General features: G+C 53.1%; 1 long non-coding RNA gene across 1 annotated transcript in view, besides 2 other annotated features; it reads right to left on the bottom strand.

Annotated features, from left to right (window-relative positions):
• LOC124907827 (uncharacterized) overlaps window positions 1-5,617 on the bottom strand; it is a 47,724-nt gene extending 42,107 nt beyond the window's left edge. The window contains exon 1 of the long non-coding RNA XR_007086966.1: window positions 4,781-5,617. This is a non-coding gene — a long non-coding RNA (uncharacterized LOC124907827). The remainder of the gene's footprint in view (window positions 1-4,780) is intronic.
• Window positions 6,715-7,714: an enhancer, noted in NCBI's record as "H3K27ac-H3K4me1 hESC enhancer chr2:71921091-71922090 (GRCh37/hg19 assembly coordinates)". NCBI's record gives its function as "activates a minimal SCP1, AML or CMV promoter by ChIP-STARR-seq in naive H9 embryonic stem cells {active_cell/tissue: H9 hESC(naive)}" and the evidence as "EXISTENCE:reporter gene assay evidence [ECO:0000049][PMID:30033119]".
• Window positions 7,715-8,214: an enhancer, noted in NCBI's record as "H3K27ac-H3K4me1 hESC enhancer chr2:71920591-71921090 (GRCh37/hg19 assembly coordinates)". NCBI's record gives its function as "activates a minimal SCP1, AML or CMV promoter by ChIP-STARR-seq in naive H9 embryonic stem cells {active_cell/tissue: H9 hESC(naive)}" and the evidence as "EXISTENCE:reporter gene assay evidence [ECO:0000049][PMID:30033119]".

The raw sequence follows: 13,848 nt of genomic DNA, 5'->3' as shown, positions 1-13,848 counted from the left end.
GTGTGCCCCATCAGTGTGCATTCTAAGGGCAGCCATGCCTTTTTCTCCAATCTAAGGGCTCCCCGAAGGACAGCAGATGCTCTCACATCAGACCTGGGGCTCTGCAGAGGCAGAGGCCGTGGCTCCCTCATCAGACTAGTGGTTCCTAATAGAGCAGGCCCACCTACGTAATTCATAGGGCCAAGTACAAAATACAAATGTGCCTTTTTCCAAAATTATTGGGAAAGTCAAGGTGGTGATAGTAGGGCATTAAGCCAAGCGTGGGGCCCTTCTGAGCGTGGAGCCCTGTGTGACTGCATAAGTCACATGCCCGTAGAGCTGGCCCTGTATGGAAGGGACTGTGCCTCCCCTGTAAGATGAGGCGGCAGGTGAGGAACTCAGAGGCCAGGCGGGCACAAAGCCAAAGGGAATGGGAAGAGGCCTGGAGGTGAGCAGGGCAGGCCCCAGGCCCCGAGGAGGGACACACAGGGTCACTTCCCCAAACAATAGGGCATTCATGAGCAGCCTGGCTCCACAGCAGGGCCCTGACGCCAGGCCCCGACGCCAAGCTCAGCCCTGTAATTCATGCTCCAGTCCCTGAGCCGAGCACTGGCAGGGGCTCAAGTAGGAGAAAGTTGATGCTGCGGAGGTGGCCGCAGTGGAAACATCTATTTTTACCCTGGCAGACCGGGAGACAGGTCAGCGGTGGCTTTGAGTGAATCCCAGTGCAGCCACCCAGGGCCTAGTCCCAGCCTAGGGACAGCCCAGACCAGCGGAGGGCCACCCAGGCAGCCCCCATGCAGCACCAGGTCAGGCGGGCCTCAGACCAAGGAGCGAGTCAGAGCATCCCCGGAAGGGGCCCCACCAGGGCCGTCACATTTCTCCCCGGCTCTGCCCCTGACACTCACTTCTGTCCCTGCCTTGTGAACAATGTCAGCTCAGAACAGAAGTGGAGATTCCTGAAGCCCTTCCCCAGCCATTCCTGGTCAAGCCCCACCTCCCCCTCCCCCGCCTCCCCCCACCGCCTCCCCCGGGGTTCCTGGGGATGCCCTGGGCCATCAGAGTCTGAGAATGGAGAAAGCAGAGGGAGGCGTACAGGGTCTCATCTCGCCTGCCCTGAGGTGGGGAGATCTGCTCAGTGACCCTTATCCGGGAGAGGTCGTTGCTGAAGCCAGTGAATGAACACTGATGGGTGACTTTCAGACTCTGCACCAGCCTGGCTGGCACACCGGTTAGGTGGCTCCTACCTGGCTCCCGGGTGAGGCCAGCTTTTCCTCAGTTCTTACCTCCAGCAGCCAGCACTTGAGGCCCCCACCTGTCCCCCCTGCAGGTGGAACACTGTGTGCTGAGGTGTTTACGTTACATAAACCCAACCACGCTCGTCAGGAAATTTGTAGCTCCCCTGAGGAATGAAAACTCAATGCCTTCTTGCACAGGGCCAGGCAGGGATCCTAGCCACAAGCCCCGGGTCCACCTCTGGCTCCTGGATTCCTCTGGTCTGCTGCCAGAGGGAGTAGCATGGGGCGGGTTGGGGAGGGCAGGAATGTCCCCAGCCCACTCACCTCTCTCTGCTCTGGTGGGCAGACAACCAGCCCCTCTGGCAGCCAGCTAAGACTGAAGCAGAGGAGGACCTGGGTCCCCTGCCCTGGGGTTCACCTCCAACCTGGAGATCTGTTGGAGAAGCCACCTGCCTTTGAGTGGCAGTTTAGCATCCCCACTCTGGGAAGCTCTCTCCGCGTTTAAGGACAGTCTGCAGTCCTCATAATCTCCAGTGTTGCCACCCAAGTCTTCTGGGCCCACTCCTCAGCCACCCATCCTGATCCATCGCCTCCTTGACATACTACAAACACTCCTATCCAGTTCTAAGCATGTATTAGCTAGTGTACTCTCAGGTCCAATTTGCCCTCCTTCCTCCCTGTCCAAGTCCCCTTCCTTTGGGGCTGAGGAATGAACAATTGCCCTCCCCAGATGAGAAGGTTGGGGTCAGAGATCCTTGGGGCAGGAGCTACCCTGGAGGATCGGGCAGGGATGGAGAGCCAAGAACCGTCCATCCACATATGGCTGTGAAGTCGTGTCCAACACAGCCCTGGGTTGGGAGGGTGACACCTACATCATTGTCCTTCAAGACGGGGCCCTTAGAGGTGTGCGGTGCTCTGCCAACTTCTGAGGAATAACAGAGGATCTGGGCTCCCCAGGGGCATCACTCACTTTTTATAGGTCTTCTGAGCAGCCCTGAGGCCATCCCCTAACGAGTCCTGCCTGTTCTATGGGGCCTCCCAGATTAGGGTCTCGCTCATAAACCACAGAGGTCTGAGCTTCTATGGGAGGAAAGAAGGGCCATGCCCCAGCCCCAGCTGGGGGAGGAGGGAGGAAAGGGGGCTGCAGACAAATGGTTTTTACACTTTGAGTTAATGAGGGTCAGGCAGGGGCACCCACTGGCAGGAGGGAATAAATGAGAGAAAAATTGATGGGGGGGATGGAGGAGAAGGAGGGGTGAGGGCTTTGAATGAGGGAGGTGAGAGGAACGCCTAGTCATAAAAATCTCTTACAGACGCACACTCACACAAAGACATACATCAGCCCGTGCAAGCTTCCTGAGCCCCGCTGTGTGCCCAGCCTGGGGCTGGAGGCTGTGAAGCGGTGACCTCCGAACGCACTGATAGCAAACCTCCACTGGTGAAAAGTCTGAGCATGCACTCCCCTAGATGCTGATTTATCTCCCCACACGGTCTATCCATGGACAACAATGAGGACTTCAAGGCAGGTTCTAGGTCTAGGATGAGGGCCACTGCTGCAGGTGACCCATGCAAGGCCTCTGGGTCATCAGCAGTGTCACTGACTTCTTGGCAGATCTGATTATGTCCTTGTTGTTTTTCAAGCTGGAGTGCAATGGTGCGATCTCAGCTCACTGCAACCTCTGCCTCCCGGGTTCAAGTGATTCTCTTGCCTCAGCCTCCTGAGTAGCTGGGATTACAGGCGTCCACCACCACACCTGGCTAATTTTTGTATTTTTAGTAGAGATGGGGTTTCACCATATTGGCCAGGCTGGTCTTGAACTCCTGACCTCAGGTGATCCGCCCACCTCGGCCTCCCAAAGTGCTGGGATTACAGGCATGAGCCACCGCACCTGGCATGTTTTTTACTGCCTAATGCAGCTTCTCTGGGGAGCTCCTGCATGCGGTGGATGCATGGGTTAGCTGTGCCCTCGTTTCTACTTCACATGGTTAGCTTATCTCCCATCCACCATTGTCACCTGTTTGTACGCTTAGCTTAATTTCAATCAGAGTAGTTCCATGGCAGGAATTATTTTAAGCTGTGTGTCCATTTCTGTGAGGGTTACTTTAGTTAAATCCACAATGTGTAATCTCTAAATCCCCTTAACTAACCAGGTTCACACCAAAAGCTAAGACACAAAAAGCCATACACCAAAAGCTGAAAAACAAGGGTGGCGCTACCACTGCCTTCCCTTAGGACTCCTATGCACTTAGCATAGAATACATGACCATAAGTCACATGGCATAAGTGGCGTCCAAGGTCTAGCCAAACATCATATATTAAGAAAGAGTAACAGATTGGATTTGTGAATGTTTTCTTCCCATACCCCAGTGAAGTGTTGTCCACCTCCCAGGGAGAGGTTTAGAGACAATCCCTGGGGAGGCACAGAGATGAAGATGCTTTACATCCCCTTAAATATTTAGTCAAAGGTGGGATAAGAAAATGTAAAAGAAGATTTTAAAGCTGAGCATCTACCAGGTGCCACATTCCACATTCCTGGCATCTGAACCTCATAGGAACTGAAGGAGCTCTGATGACCTGACCGCGTTTGACTAGGGGGAGCAGGGACAGAAATGCCCCAGGCCTCACAGATGGCGGGGAGAGAAGCCAGAGAGCTGGAGTCAAGTGCAGGCTGGCCCGAATTATTCCTGTTAATGTAAGCAGCAGGGGGTAAAGGCCCTGAGGAGATACAACCATGAAAGCAGGAGCTCCAAGCCCGCCCTGATGGAGAAATCAGAGGCAGCCTCATGAAGAAGGCAAAGGAGGTTTTTCACCCTTGGTGACACCCAGACAGCCCCTCTCATCCACGCTACATCTACACATCCCTGGGGGCCTCACCTCATATCCCCCACCCGCATCCCCATCCCCAGCTTTCCCGTAATGCCTTCTGCAGAGGAGGCAGGTGATCCTCACCACCCCACCCCTCCTGACCGGTGACCTCATTCCTCCCACTATCCCCCACCCCAGCCTACTATGGGCAGGGGTCGTGGAGGTGCCCTGAGGCAGGCGGAAGGCCAGAGTGTCCTTCCTCTATGGCGGCACTGCTTGTAGGGAAGACACCACTTTCCCGGTTTAATCCTATCTCCTCAGTCTTTCTAGTGATTCACCTTTTGCCTAGGGGTGTCTGAGACACTTAAAAGATCCCTGCCTTAGACAAGGAAGCAGGGACTCACCTACACACCCCAGACCCGTCAGGACCTCTGGCCTTCTGAGGCTTCTTATCCTGCCCTTATATCTCAATGACTGCTTAGCCACTTCAAAACAGCCACCTAGGATGGCCATGGAAAAGCCCTGCAGACAAGATGCTCAATAAGAAAGCAAAAGGAAACTACCTAAAATCCATCAATAGGAGCCCTGACTAAATACACCATGGTTCCTCCGAGTGATCAATGATTATACAGCCATAAAATCATGTTATAGATGAATATGTAGACGCGGATGGGTGTTCATGGTACAGTGGTTACAAACCACTCTGCACAGTGAGATCACATTTTTAAAAAAATACTAACATATACTTTATACTCACATGGAAAATTCTGGAGATACCCAAGTGCCAGCAGTGGTTCTCTCTGGGTAATAGGATTAGTGGCTGTTTTATACTCTTCCTTTTGCTAGCTGTTTTCTCCAGTTTCTATAATGAACAAATATTACTTTTGTAATAAGACAAAAACCAACAAAAGCTATTTTTAAAAATAAAACAGTCTCCCATGCCCATCTGGAAATAGTGTGCTGCCCTGATCGCCAGCGGGGTTCAGAGTGGGCAGTGAGGAGTGTGAACTCCGGAAGCATTTCCCAAGCCCAGGCCGGGGGCCAGGTGGCCAACCACGGGAAAAAGACGGCCAAGGGGGCTCTGTACTTGTCTTGCCAGCTCAGCCTAGAGGGGTTAAAGACACCCGCTTTGGTCCTAGAAAGAGCCAAGCAGGGAGCAGATAGGAATGAGCAGAAACACCTTCCCTGGCCCAAAGTTTCCGATGAGCCACAGAGGGCTGAAGGCCCCACTTCCAGGCAGTACAAACACAGTCAAGCCAAGCTCAGTCCTGCCTCAGGCCCTTGGCAATTGCTGCGCCCCCCACTGCGATGCTGTCCCCCAGGTTTTGCATGGCTCACTTTTGTCCTTCAGCCAGGTTTCTGCTTCTGCTTCACATTTCCAGAAGGCTTCTCCCCTCTCCCATCTAAAAAGGCTCATTCGTTTAGTTCCCATCGTAGTGATTTGTTTATTTATCTCCTCACCTGGCTTTATTTTTCCTCCTAATGCTCCCTTATCACCGCTTGAAATTGTTTCTCATCTGACTCCCTGACCAGGAGCTTTTACAAGGGCAAGAAGTTTGTGCTTAGAACAGAGCCTGGGCACAGGTGTTGTTCAGTAAGTATTTGTTGAGTGAATGAAAAAACTGCAAGCTTCACAGTGCCAACACTACCTCTACACAATGGCCCCCACCTGCCTCCTGCATCCCACCCCTACCCACCTGGTGGGAGTTCTGGATCCAGCCTGGAAGTCAGCAGATGTGAGATTGGTTGGGGCGGGGTGACTGTGCTGGGGGCAGAGTCAGGAGGTGGGGTAGCACGAAAAGCAAACATTTTGAGTCCACGTGGCTGGGGTTGCCTTTCGTTAACAGCTGCGTGACCTCCCTGAGACTCACTTTTCTCATCTCTAAAATGGGGCTCATAATAGCTATCTCTCACAGGTGAGGACTAAAGGTGGCATCGTGCCTAGCACAGTGCCTGACACATAGTTGGCACTCGGTAGCTGGGGCTCCCTCTCTGACCAGCCTGGAGGCGGGCCAGTCTCAAACTTCATCCTCAGCCCTGAATGAGCCATCTCTGGGGGGTGGGGGAAGGGCTAGCTTCTGGGGAGCACCCTGCTCCTGCTCCTCCCTCCTCTCCAAAGCTCCCTTACCTGGTGCAGATAGGAGGGAAAAGGAAAGGGGTGGAGAGGAGGGCTCGTCCTGGGTGAGGGCCCGGGAGCCTGGCCTGGTGGGATGTGAGTCCCAGGCACCTGAAGCAGCCTGACTATACAGGGTGTGGAGCCTCTGCCATGCAGAGACCCCAGGGAAGGCAGACTGGATGCTGACCCAGGGCTGGTGCGGCTGCCCACAACACACACGGGCCTCTGCTCCTTCCCTGTCCTCCTCCCTCCTCCCATCCATGGCGGAGGTGCTCCCTCAGGCCCATTCTTTTCATTCTTCTGGCAGCCTGAGTCTTACTGTGAAAACCCAGCTCTCCTTGGCCAGGCCTAGGTTACTTAAGGAGGCCCCAGAGGACCCCAGGGAGCGGCAGAGCCCCCGCTTCCAGTCTGAGGCCTGCTCCTCCAGGCCCTGGACTTCTCTCCAAGGGACCGCTTCCTGTGGGGGCTTTCCCCTGGGGGCCTCGGCTCCCCTACCAGGACCAAATTTCTCCATCACTCTCCTTCCTCCCAGCCTCAGACACCCCGACTGACCACTCACACCACCTCACCACCACCTGAGAAACAACAGCAAATCGAATCTCCTCCAATTCGTCTCTCCTCTTTCAAAACTGGCTTCCACCTGGCCTCCTCTGGGCATTCTTATGCAATCAAGCCCAATTCAAAGACCGTAAGGGATTCCCTTAAAGTAACTGACTCCCCATCGCGGCCCTCCCCTCTGGAAGAAGAGGAGGAGGCAGCTATGTCACAGAGGACTGCTCCTAGGTCTGACAGGAGATGCACCTCATTCCTAGCCTGGGTGGACATGAATGCCCAACCTCCCCGATCCCATGAGATGGGCGTCTCCAAGGAGAGGCTGGTCATGTCTCCCCCGGCAGGCCTCTCCAGGGACATTCTCGACCTAGGAGGGCTCCTAGCCTAGGCATGCTTGCAGGCTAAGACCCCTGACTGTGTGGGTCTGAGGAAGGTGGGTCCAGAGTGTGTCCCCAAAGGGGCAGACTCTCCTTAGCAGAGCTCAGAGAGGGGCATAGAAGCCAAAATGCCCCCATGTGAATGCACAGTGGGAAACACAGCTTGCATCAGCATAATTTACACATGCACCGCCTGCAAACAGGCCTGTACCGGGAGCCACAGCACCATCAGAAGGCTGCCTGGGAATGTGGAGGGCAAGGGACATATCATGGCCACACCCCAATAGCCATGGGGGATAGAAAGTCTTGCCCTGGAGTCACAAGCCAAGCCTCTCTTCCCTGGACATTGTCAAGGTGGGTGTCTGAGACTCACGTTTTTCTCCCTGGGTGGGTGAATGCATGGGCCATTAAGAGTTGCCAGGACCTGGGACCAGTGGCCTCCTCGGCAAGCCTTTGCCAGTCTATGCTCTGAGCCCGCACGCAGTCCCTTCCTAGTTCAGCTCCCAGAAGGCAGCTCTGCTTCCATTAGCTCCACATCTTGGATGGCACCTTGCTGCTGCCCCATGATCTGACTGGTGTAGGGAATCCAGGAATCCCTGCAACTCTCTCCCGGATCCTGGACAGCAGGGAAGCGGAATGAGGGTGTGGATTCAGAAGGATCCCCTGCCCTGTCCCATTTTCCAGGCTCAGCCACGTACTTGCTTGTCCCCTCAGTTCAGTAGCTGGCAGAGAGTCATAATTGAATTTGCAGTAGGGCCGAGAATGAAAAAAAAAAAAAAAAAACCCTTTATATGTCTGGGATTAATTTATCCCTGATGGCCACATTCACATGCTCCTTTCTGCTTGGGTTTCCAGAGCATATTCTGGCCGACAATGTGAAGCACGCACACACGCACACACACACGGAGAGGAAATGTATGTGCGGAGAGCACACTTGGGTGCTTGCTGTGTTGATGCCTGTGCTGTGAATGGGTCTGAGGGAGTATGGGTGTGTCCTGGGTGAGTTGGAGTGTGGCCGGGCATAACCAGCTGCATGAGTGGGTCTATACAAGGGGTCTTCAGTGTACATATCTGGAGGGTCCCCCATTGTGATCATCTGAGGTGACAGCACACCTGAAGGCCGCATGTGGAATAACCAAAGTCACACTGCTAGCTAGCTGTGAAAGGAAAGCCCAGACATGATGGCCGAGACAGGGTTGGGTGGAGGGCACTGCCGGGACATCAAGGCAGCTGCAGTTTCTCTGCGGTCCCTCCCCATTTCTAGGGAGAAAGCCCAGCCCTTTCTAGATGGAGAAATGAGTCAACATCGCCCCACACTGGAGGAGCCTCCCAACAAGGGGAGCCATCTCCCCACTGCTCCGTCTTCTTTAACCCTTGCCTCCTCCCCAGCACGCAGGACAGACAGAGCTCCTTGTTTAAGTGAATGATTACAGATCTCATATGTTAAGTACCTGCTATGCATCATCTCAGGTAGTCCTCACAACACCCGATGAGGGAAAAGCCATCATCATTCCCATGTTTCAGATGAGAAAACTGAGGCCTAGAGGTCACACGACTTGCCCGAGGTCACATCGCTCAGTGGCAGGGGCAGGACTTGGGCCACTGTGTGACTGATTCCAAACTTCATGCCCTTAACCACCAGGCTGGAGGAAGATCTCTGCCGTCCAGGCATCTGTTAGGCTGGGAATCCCTTTTTAGACTGAAGAAGGCTTTGGCCCTGATGTGCTGCTGCCACACGGAGCCTCCTAGCTGCATCTGGATCTGCAAGGTTGGGGGAGAGCTCCCAGGCCAGTGGCTCCAATGAGAGCTGAGAGGGGCACTTTTCCTGGGGTTTCAGGGTATCTTTCTGTCTTCTGTATCCTGAGGCATCTTTGACCTCGTCCTCTTCTACAGGCAGTAAGCCCGGATGGTAAAAGTGCTCCAGGGGAGGGAGAGGGAAAAACAGATCACAAAGAGGCAAAATACACCAGCAGGTATTTTAAAAATGTATTACCCTTTATACATGTGAGTGATTTGTGTATTTCGCTCTTTTGTTTTGCCCTTGGTTCTCGGTCAAGTTCCTTTAGAAAAGATCCCAGAACACCTCTGTTGACGTAAAGGGAAGAGTGTCCTACCTAGACCTGAGCTCAATGAGGACACAAGTGGGCTCCACAAAGTCCCCCCAGGGGGGCCCCGATCCCCCACAGGAATGCGAGGTGGGAGTCTGAGGAGGGAGTCCGAAGAGCATGAAGCAGAGGCAGGCTCCAGGCTAGGCGGGTGGTGGAAACAGGGAGAACCGGCCAGCAGGGGCAAGCGGTAAGCCTGGGCGCCAGCAGAATGGTGTGGCTCCGGAGCTGCCTGGATGAGGAGCACGTGGAGGAAATGCTCCGGCGATTGCGTGAGGTTCTTGGTCTTGTTCCTGTCCCCGGCTGCCACTGTCATTCTGTCTCTGCCCCTCACCATGAGTCTGTTTCTCTCTGCATCTGCCTCATCTGCTGTCTCTCTGTCGCACACACACCCCCGACCCCATGAAAAACCGAGACCAAAACAAAGGCAGAGAAACAGAGTCTGCAAGCCATGCTGGGCCAAGCCACAGGGAATAGGAGCCGTAGCTATTTTTCCCTGGAGGGAGGAACAAAAGCACATGGGGAAAGGGGAGAGGGGAAGGTTGGCGTCACTCATTTCAATAGCTCGCAGCCGTGTGAGGACCTCGTGTGTCGGGGTGAACCCTTGCCCTCACCCAGTTCTCTTTCCAAAGCAGGAAACGTTTCCTGGGCTGTCACCGGGTCCCAGTCAGGGGATGCCCACCTGGCTCCTCTGGAAATCCCATAATCCTAAATTTATGAAACACATGGAGAGAGGATTGAGACAAGTTTGAGTTCCCTGGGGGTGGAGGCAAACTGGGGAGGGGTTGTGGGCTGGACAGCAGGGGCTACACTCAGAGCCCTTTCTGTCTGTCCACGCTCCCATCACCCCATCCTGGACTATCCACACAGCCCTGGAAAAGGAGCAGAAAATGGTGTGTGTGTGTGTGTAATCTCTCAAAAACACCAGCAGACATCACCCCATCCTGGACTATCCACACAGCCCTGGAAAAGGAGCAGAAAATGGTGTGTGTGTGTGTGTAATCTCTCAAAAACACCAGCAGACAAAATAAAGGCAGGGAACTGAGTATTCCGGATACAAAAGGCTTATCAAGCTTTATTGAACCGCTTTTCTTTCACAGATGAGAGTTATTCTCCACCTTGCTGCAAGAATTGGTCTCAAATGTTGAGAACTAACTGAATTTAGGAACATAAAACCCTATTTGAAATGGCTCTGAGAGCCTGGCTATTTAAAGAAAACTTGCAATGAAACACTTAGTAAAGTCCCTTCAGTGAAGGAAGCAGACATCTCATTAAGAATTGAGATGTGATTTCAGCCCTGGAGGCGCAGACTCCAGGGGTGGGGGTGGGACAGTCAAGTCTGCCGGTTTCAATGGAGTGTTAACAAGCCCTGTAACCGAAGAGGGACCGCGTTGACTGAGTGTGGCAGACAGGCACCAGGGCAGGACAGGGGGAACACCCGGAGGAAAGGGCCAAGCTGAGACCCAAGAGATGGGCACGGCAGAAGGAAAGGCAAGAGGTGAGCAGGGAGAGCGAGCAGGGCTGGCCTCCCTCCTGAGGGCAGTGGAGAACCACGCAGGGAAGATCTGAGAGAGAGGAATGGCCAAAGGCAGTAGCATTTGGGTTTCAATGACGTTGGCCTGCTAGGGGCCTGATCATAAGTGGAGATGGTGGTAATGGGAAAAGAAGTAGCTTGACTCAGATTCAAGAAGCAGAATTTGTGGGATTTGGTGATGTGTTGGATATGAGGAGTAAGAGGCGATAGGCCTCAAGGATGCCTCCCACAAGTGCAGCTCCAGGGACTAGATGGGTGGAGGGAAAAATAGAGCAGGAGTTTTATAATGGGGTGGAGGATGGAGACTTTGAGTGGGAGGGTTTGAGTTCATAGTGCCAGTGCGTAAGCAGTACACTAAGGCGCCTGCAGCGGAGGGGAGAAACTGGGCTACAGTGAGGGATTCCGGGTTCATTCACCTGTAGAAGGCAGAGAAAGTGGGGCAGGTGAGGGTGCCTAGGAGCCATACAATACGAGAACAGCGCCAGGGAAAGAGACCTGGGGAACATCACAGACGAACAGAGAGGGACGCCAAGCCACAGGGAGAGGAGGACCACCAGGCGACTGTGGTATCACAGAAGCTGGGTACAGACAGAAGGTTGATCAAGAAGCAGAGAACGTCCGTGCTGTCAGCCACAGCTGAGTCGTGAAGGGTGAGCGCCCACAGATTTAACCACCAAGGCTAGATTGTGCCCTTGTGTGAATTAGAAAAAGGTGCCCCTTCCTCAAGGTAATTTACTTCTATCAGAAAACTACTGTAACACACTGATTTTATTAGAACAAAACACTTTACTGCCATCTGTGGGAAAATTGCTATAATAAATAATAAACGTATGATGTCTTAGATGTGGTGCCTGTGCACGGCAGCCGTGGTTATTGCAGATGGCAGTGAAAACCGGTTTCAGAGGAGCAGAATGAAATTCGCCGGCAAGGAGGCTTGGAGCTGTGGGTAACACAGGACCCAACCAAAGATGGCTTACGCTACAAGGAATGTATGGCCCTGAGTCACAAGCTGTCTCCTCTGGTGGTAGGGTGACTTCAGGGTTGGTTCTTCCTCAATAGCTTCACCAAGAACCAGGTCCTCCCCACTTCCTCTGCCGTCCTCTGTGTGCTGGCTTTCTTCCTCAGGCTGATCGCCTCAGGATCACAAGATGGCAGCCACAGCCCCAGTCATTACATTGTTCCATAATATTAAGAGGCAGAAGATGAGGATGTGTCTCCTTTTGTGCCCCTTTTTACTGGGGAGAAAACCTTTCTAACGGTGCCTCAGTCCCTCTCATAACCACCACCCCCTGCCCCCACTAGTTGTGAAGTCAAAAATATCTCCAGACATTGCCAAACGTGCCCTGGAGGACAAAAGTGCCCCTGGCTGGAAACCATGGCCCCATGCCCATGTAGCAACTCCTAGAGATCTTTGAACCAGCTTCTGGTTTTGAACTACTGCTCCCTCTATTGTCTTTTCCATCCCTGCTCTTGACTCCACAGCTCCTGCTCATCATCCACCAGTGTATTGTAATTGCCCATCTACTTATCTGCCTCTTCTACTCAACTGTGAGCTCTAGGAGGGTGGGAACCATGTTTATCTTACTCAAGATTGTATCTCTAGAGCCTACCACCCTGCCTGGTACACAGATAGCCCCCCCAATGCATATATGATATATATATTTCTTTAATGCGCGAATGAATGGATGGATGAATGGATGAATCACCCTGAGCCCTGCCTTTCAGACCTTTCCCATTTGGCTCCTGGATTAGCGAACCACTCTTCTAGAATGGCCCTCTGCAACCAGCCGCACAGCAGCCTGAGAAATTGTCCTTTGCCATTTGTGACCATGGACCATTTTAAGAATCGAGTGGGATCACTGGGCCCTCACCCCATCAAAGGCAGTTTGACAAAATGTTTATATACCTGAAGCTCACCCATGTACCCCCAGGGGACTCCTGTCTCCCAAGAACAAAGCTAGAATGGTTTTTCAGAAAAACATGATTCTGATCAAGGTCTGTTCAGCTTCGAGTCCTTCTGGTCTTCCTCAAGTCTCCATAATGAAGTTCAAACTCCTCAGCCGCACACGCAAGGCCCTCCCCACCTGGCCTTGCCACCTGGCCTCTCTTCCTTCTCTGTTGGGCCACTTCCCTCCAGGCTCACTCTCCCCAGCCATGCCCTGAACCAGCTGAGTTCTTCGACAGCTCCACCACTCAGCCTCCACTTCTGCCACTGAGAACACCTTTCCTCTCTTAGCCGCCGGGCCAGTCCGATGCTCCACTCAAATGGTATCCCTTCTTGAGAGAGTCTCCTGCCCCTTCCTTCCCCAGGGCAGTGGGCACTCCTTCTTTGATACTCCCAAAAGGGAACAATTTCCCCACCGTGCTGGGAGCTATGGAAGGCAAAGAGTCACATGCAACTCATCCTCAGACCTTGCTCTAGGCCTGCCACATAGAGCATCTCAAGGCGCGTTTGCTGGGGATGGTGTCCCCTTGCCATCCATTCCTCATCCCCCTCTGAGTTTTTCTTAGTGGTCTATGTGGTCTCAGAGAGCAGCTTCAAGCCCAGCACGATGAATGGAGCCAGCTTTAAACTGAAGCCAACCTTGAGAACACAAACTCTCAATGATCTCACATTGAGGAGCTGGATCAGCCTTTACCTGAAACCAATCATCTGGGTGTTTCATTTCTGTAAAGCCATTGAATTCCCTTTCGTAGCTTGAGTGGGGTTTTCCATTACCTGCAACCCAGAGAATCAAGAATAAAGTGAAGGAAGAAATGAAAAAATGAGCACAATGACCCCTAAAGCTCTTTTAATCCAGCTGATAGTTGCATGGTATTCATTCATTTCCTCTTGCCTTTCCGCCCTGGAAGACAAAACAGACCTTCTTTCCAAAGCAAACCCCCTCCTCTCCTTCTCCAGAAACTGATTCCATGAATTACCTCATACTCTTTCTTGTGTCTTTGATCTTTCCCTAACAAGTGGCTTCCTCCTTCCTCCCTTCAAATATTCTCAGGTTTTCCCTCTCCTAAAAATCTCGCTCGGGGCCTCCTGAAGTGGTGGCCCCACCCCTTCCTTCCTCTCCCTCTAGCCCTCCCTAAAGGCCAGCCTCCTCTCACTGCCTCCCCACAGGCATGCTTAGTGTGCTCAGTGAAGGCTCA

This window comes from Homo sapiens, chromosome 2, assembly GCF_000001405.40.
Source record: "Homo sapiens chromosome 2, GRCh38.p14 Primary Assembly".
Lineage (NCBI taxonomy): Eukaryota > Metazoa > Chordata > Mammalia > Primates > Hominidae > Homo > Homo sapiens.
The sequence above is the reverse complement of the archived record's forward strand: the minus strand, read 5'-3'. Positions and strand labels throughout refer to the sequence as shown.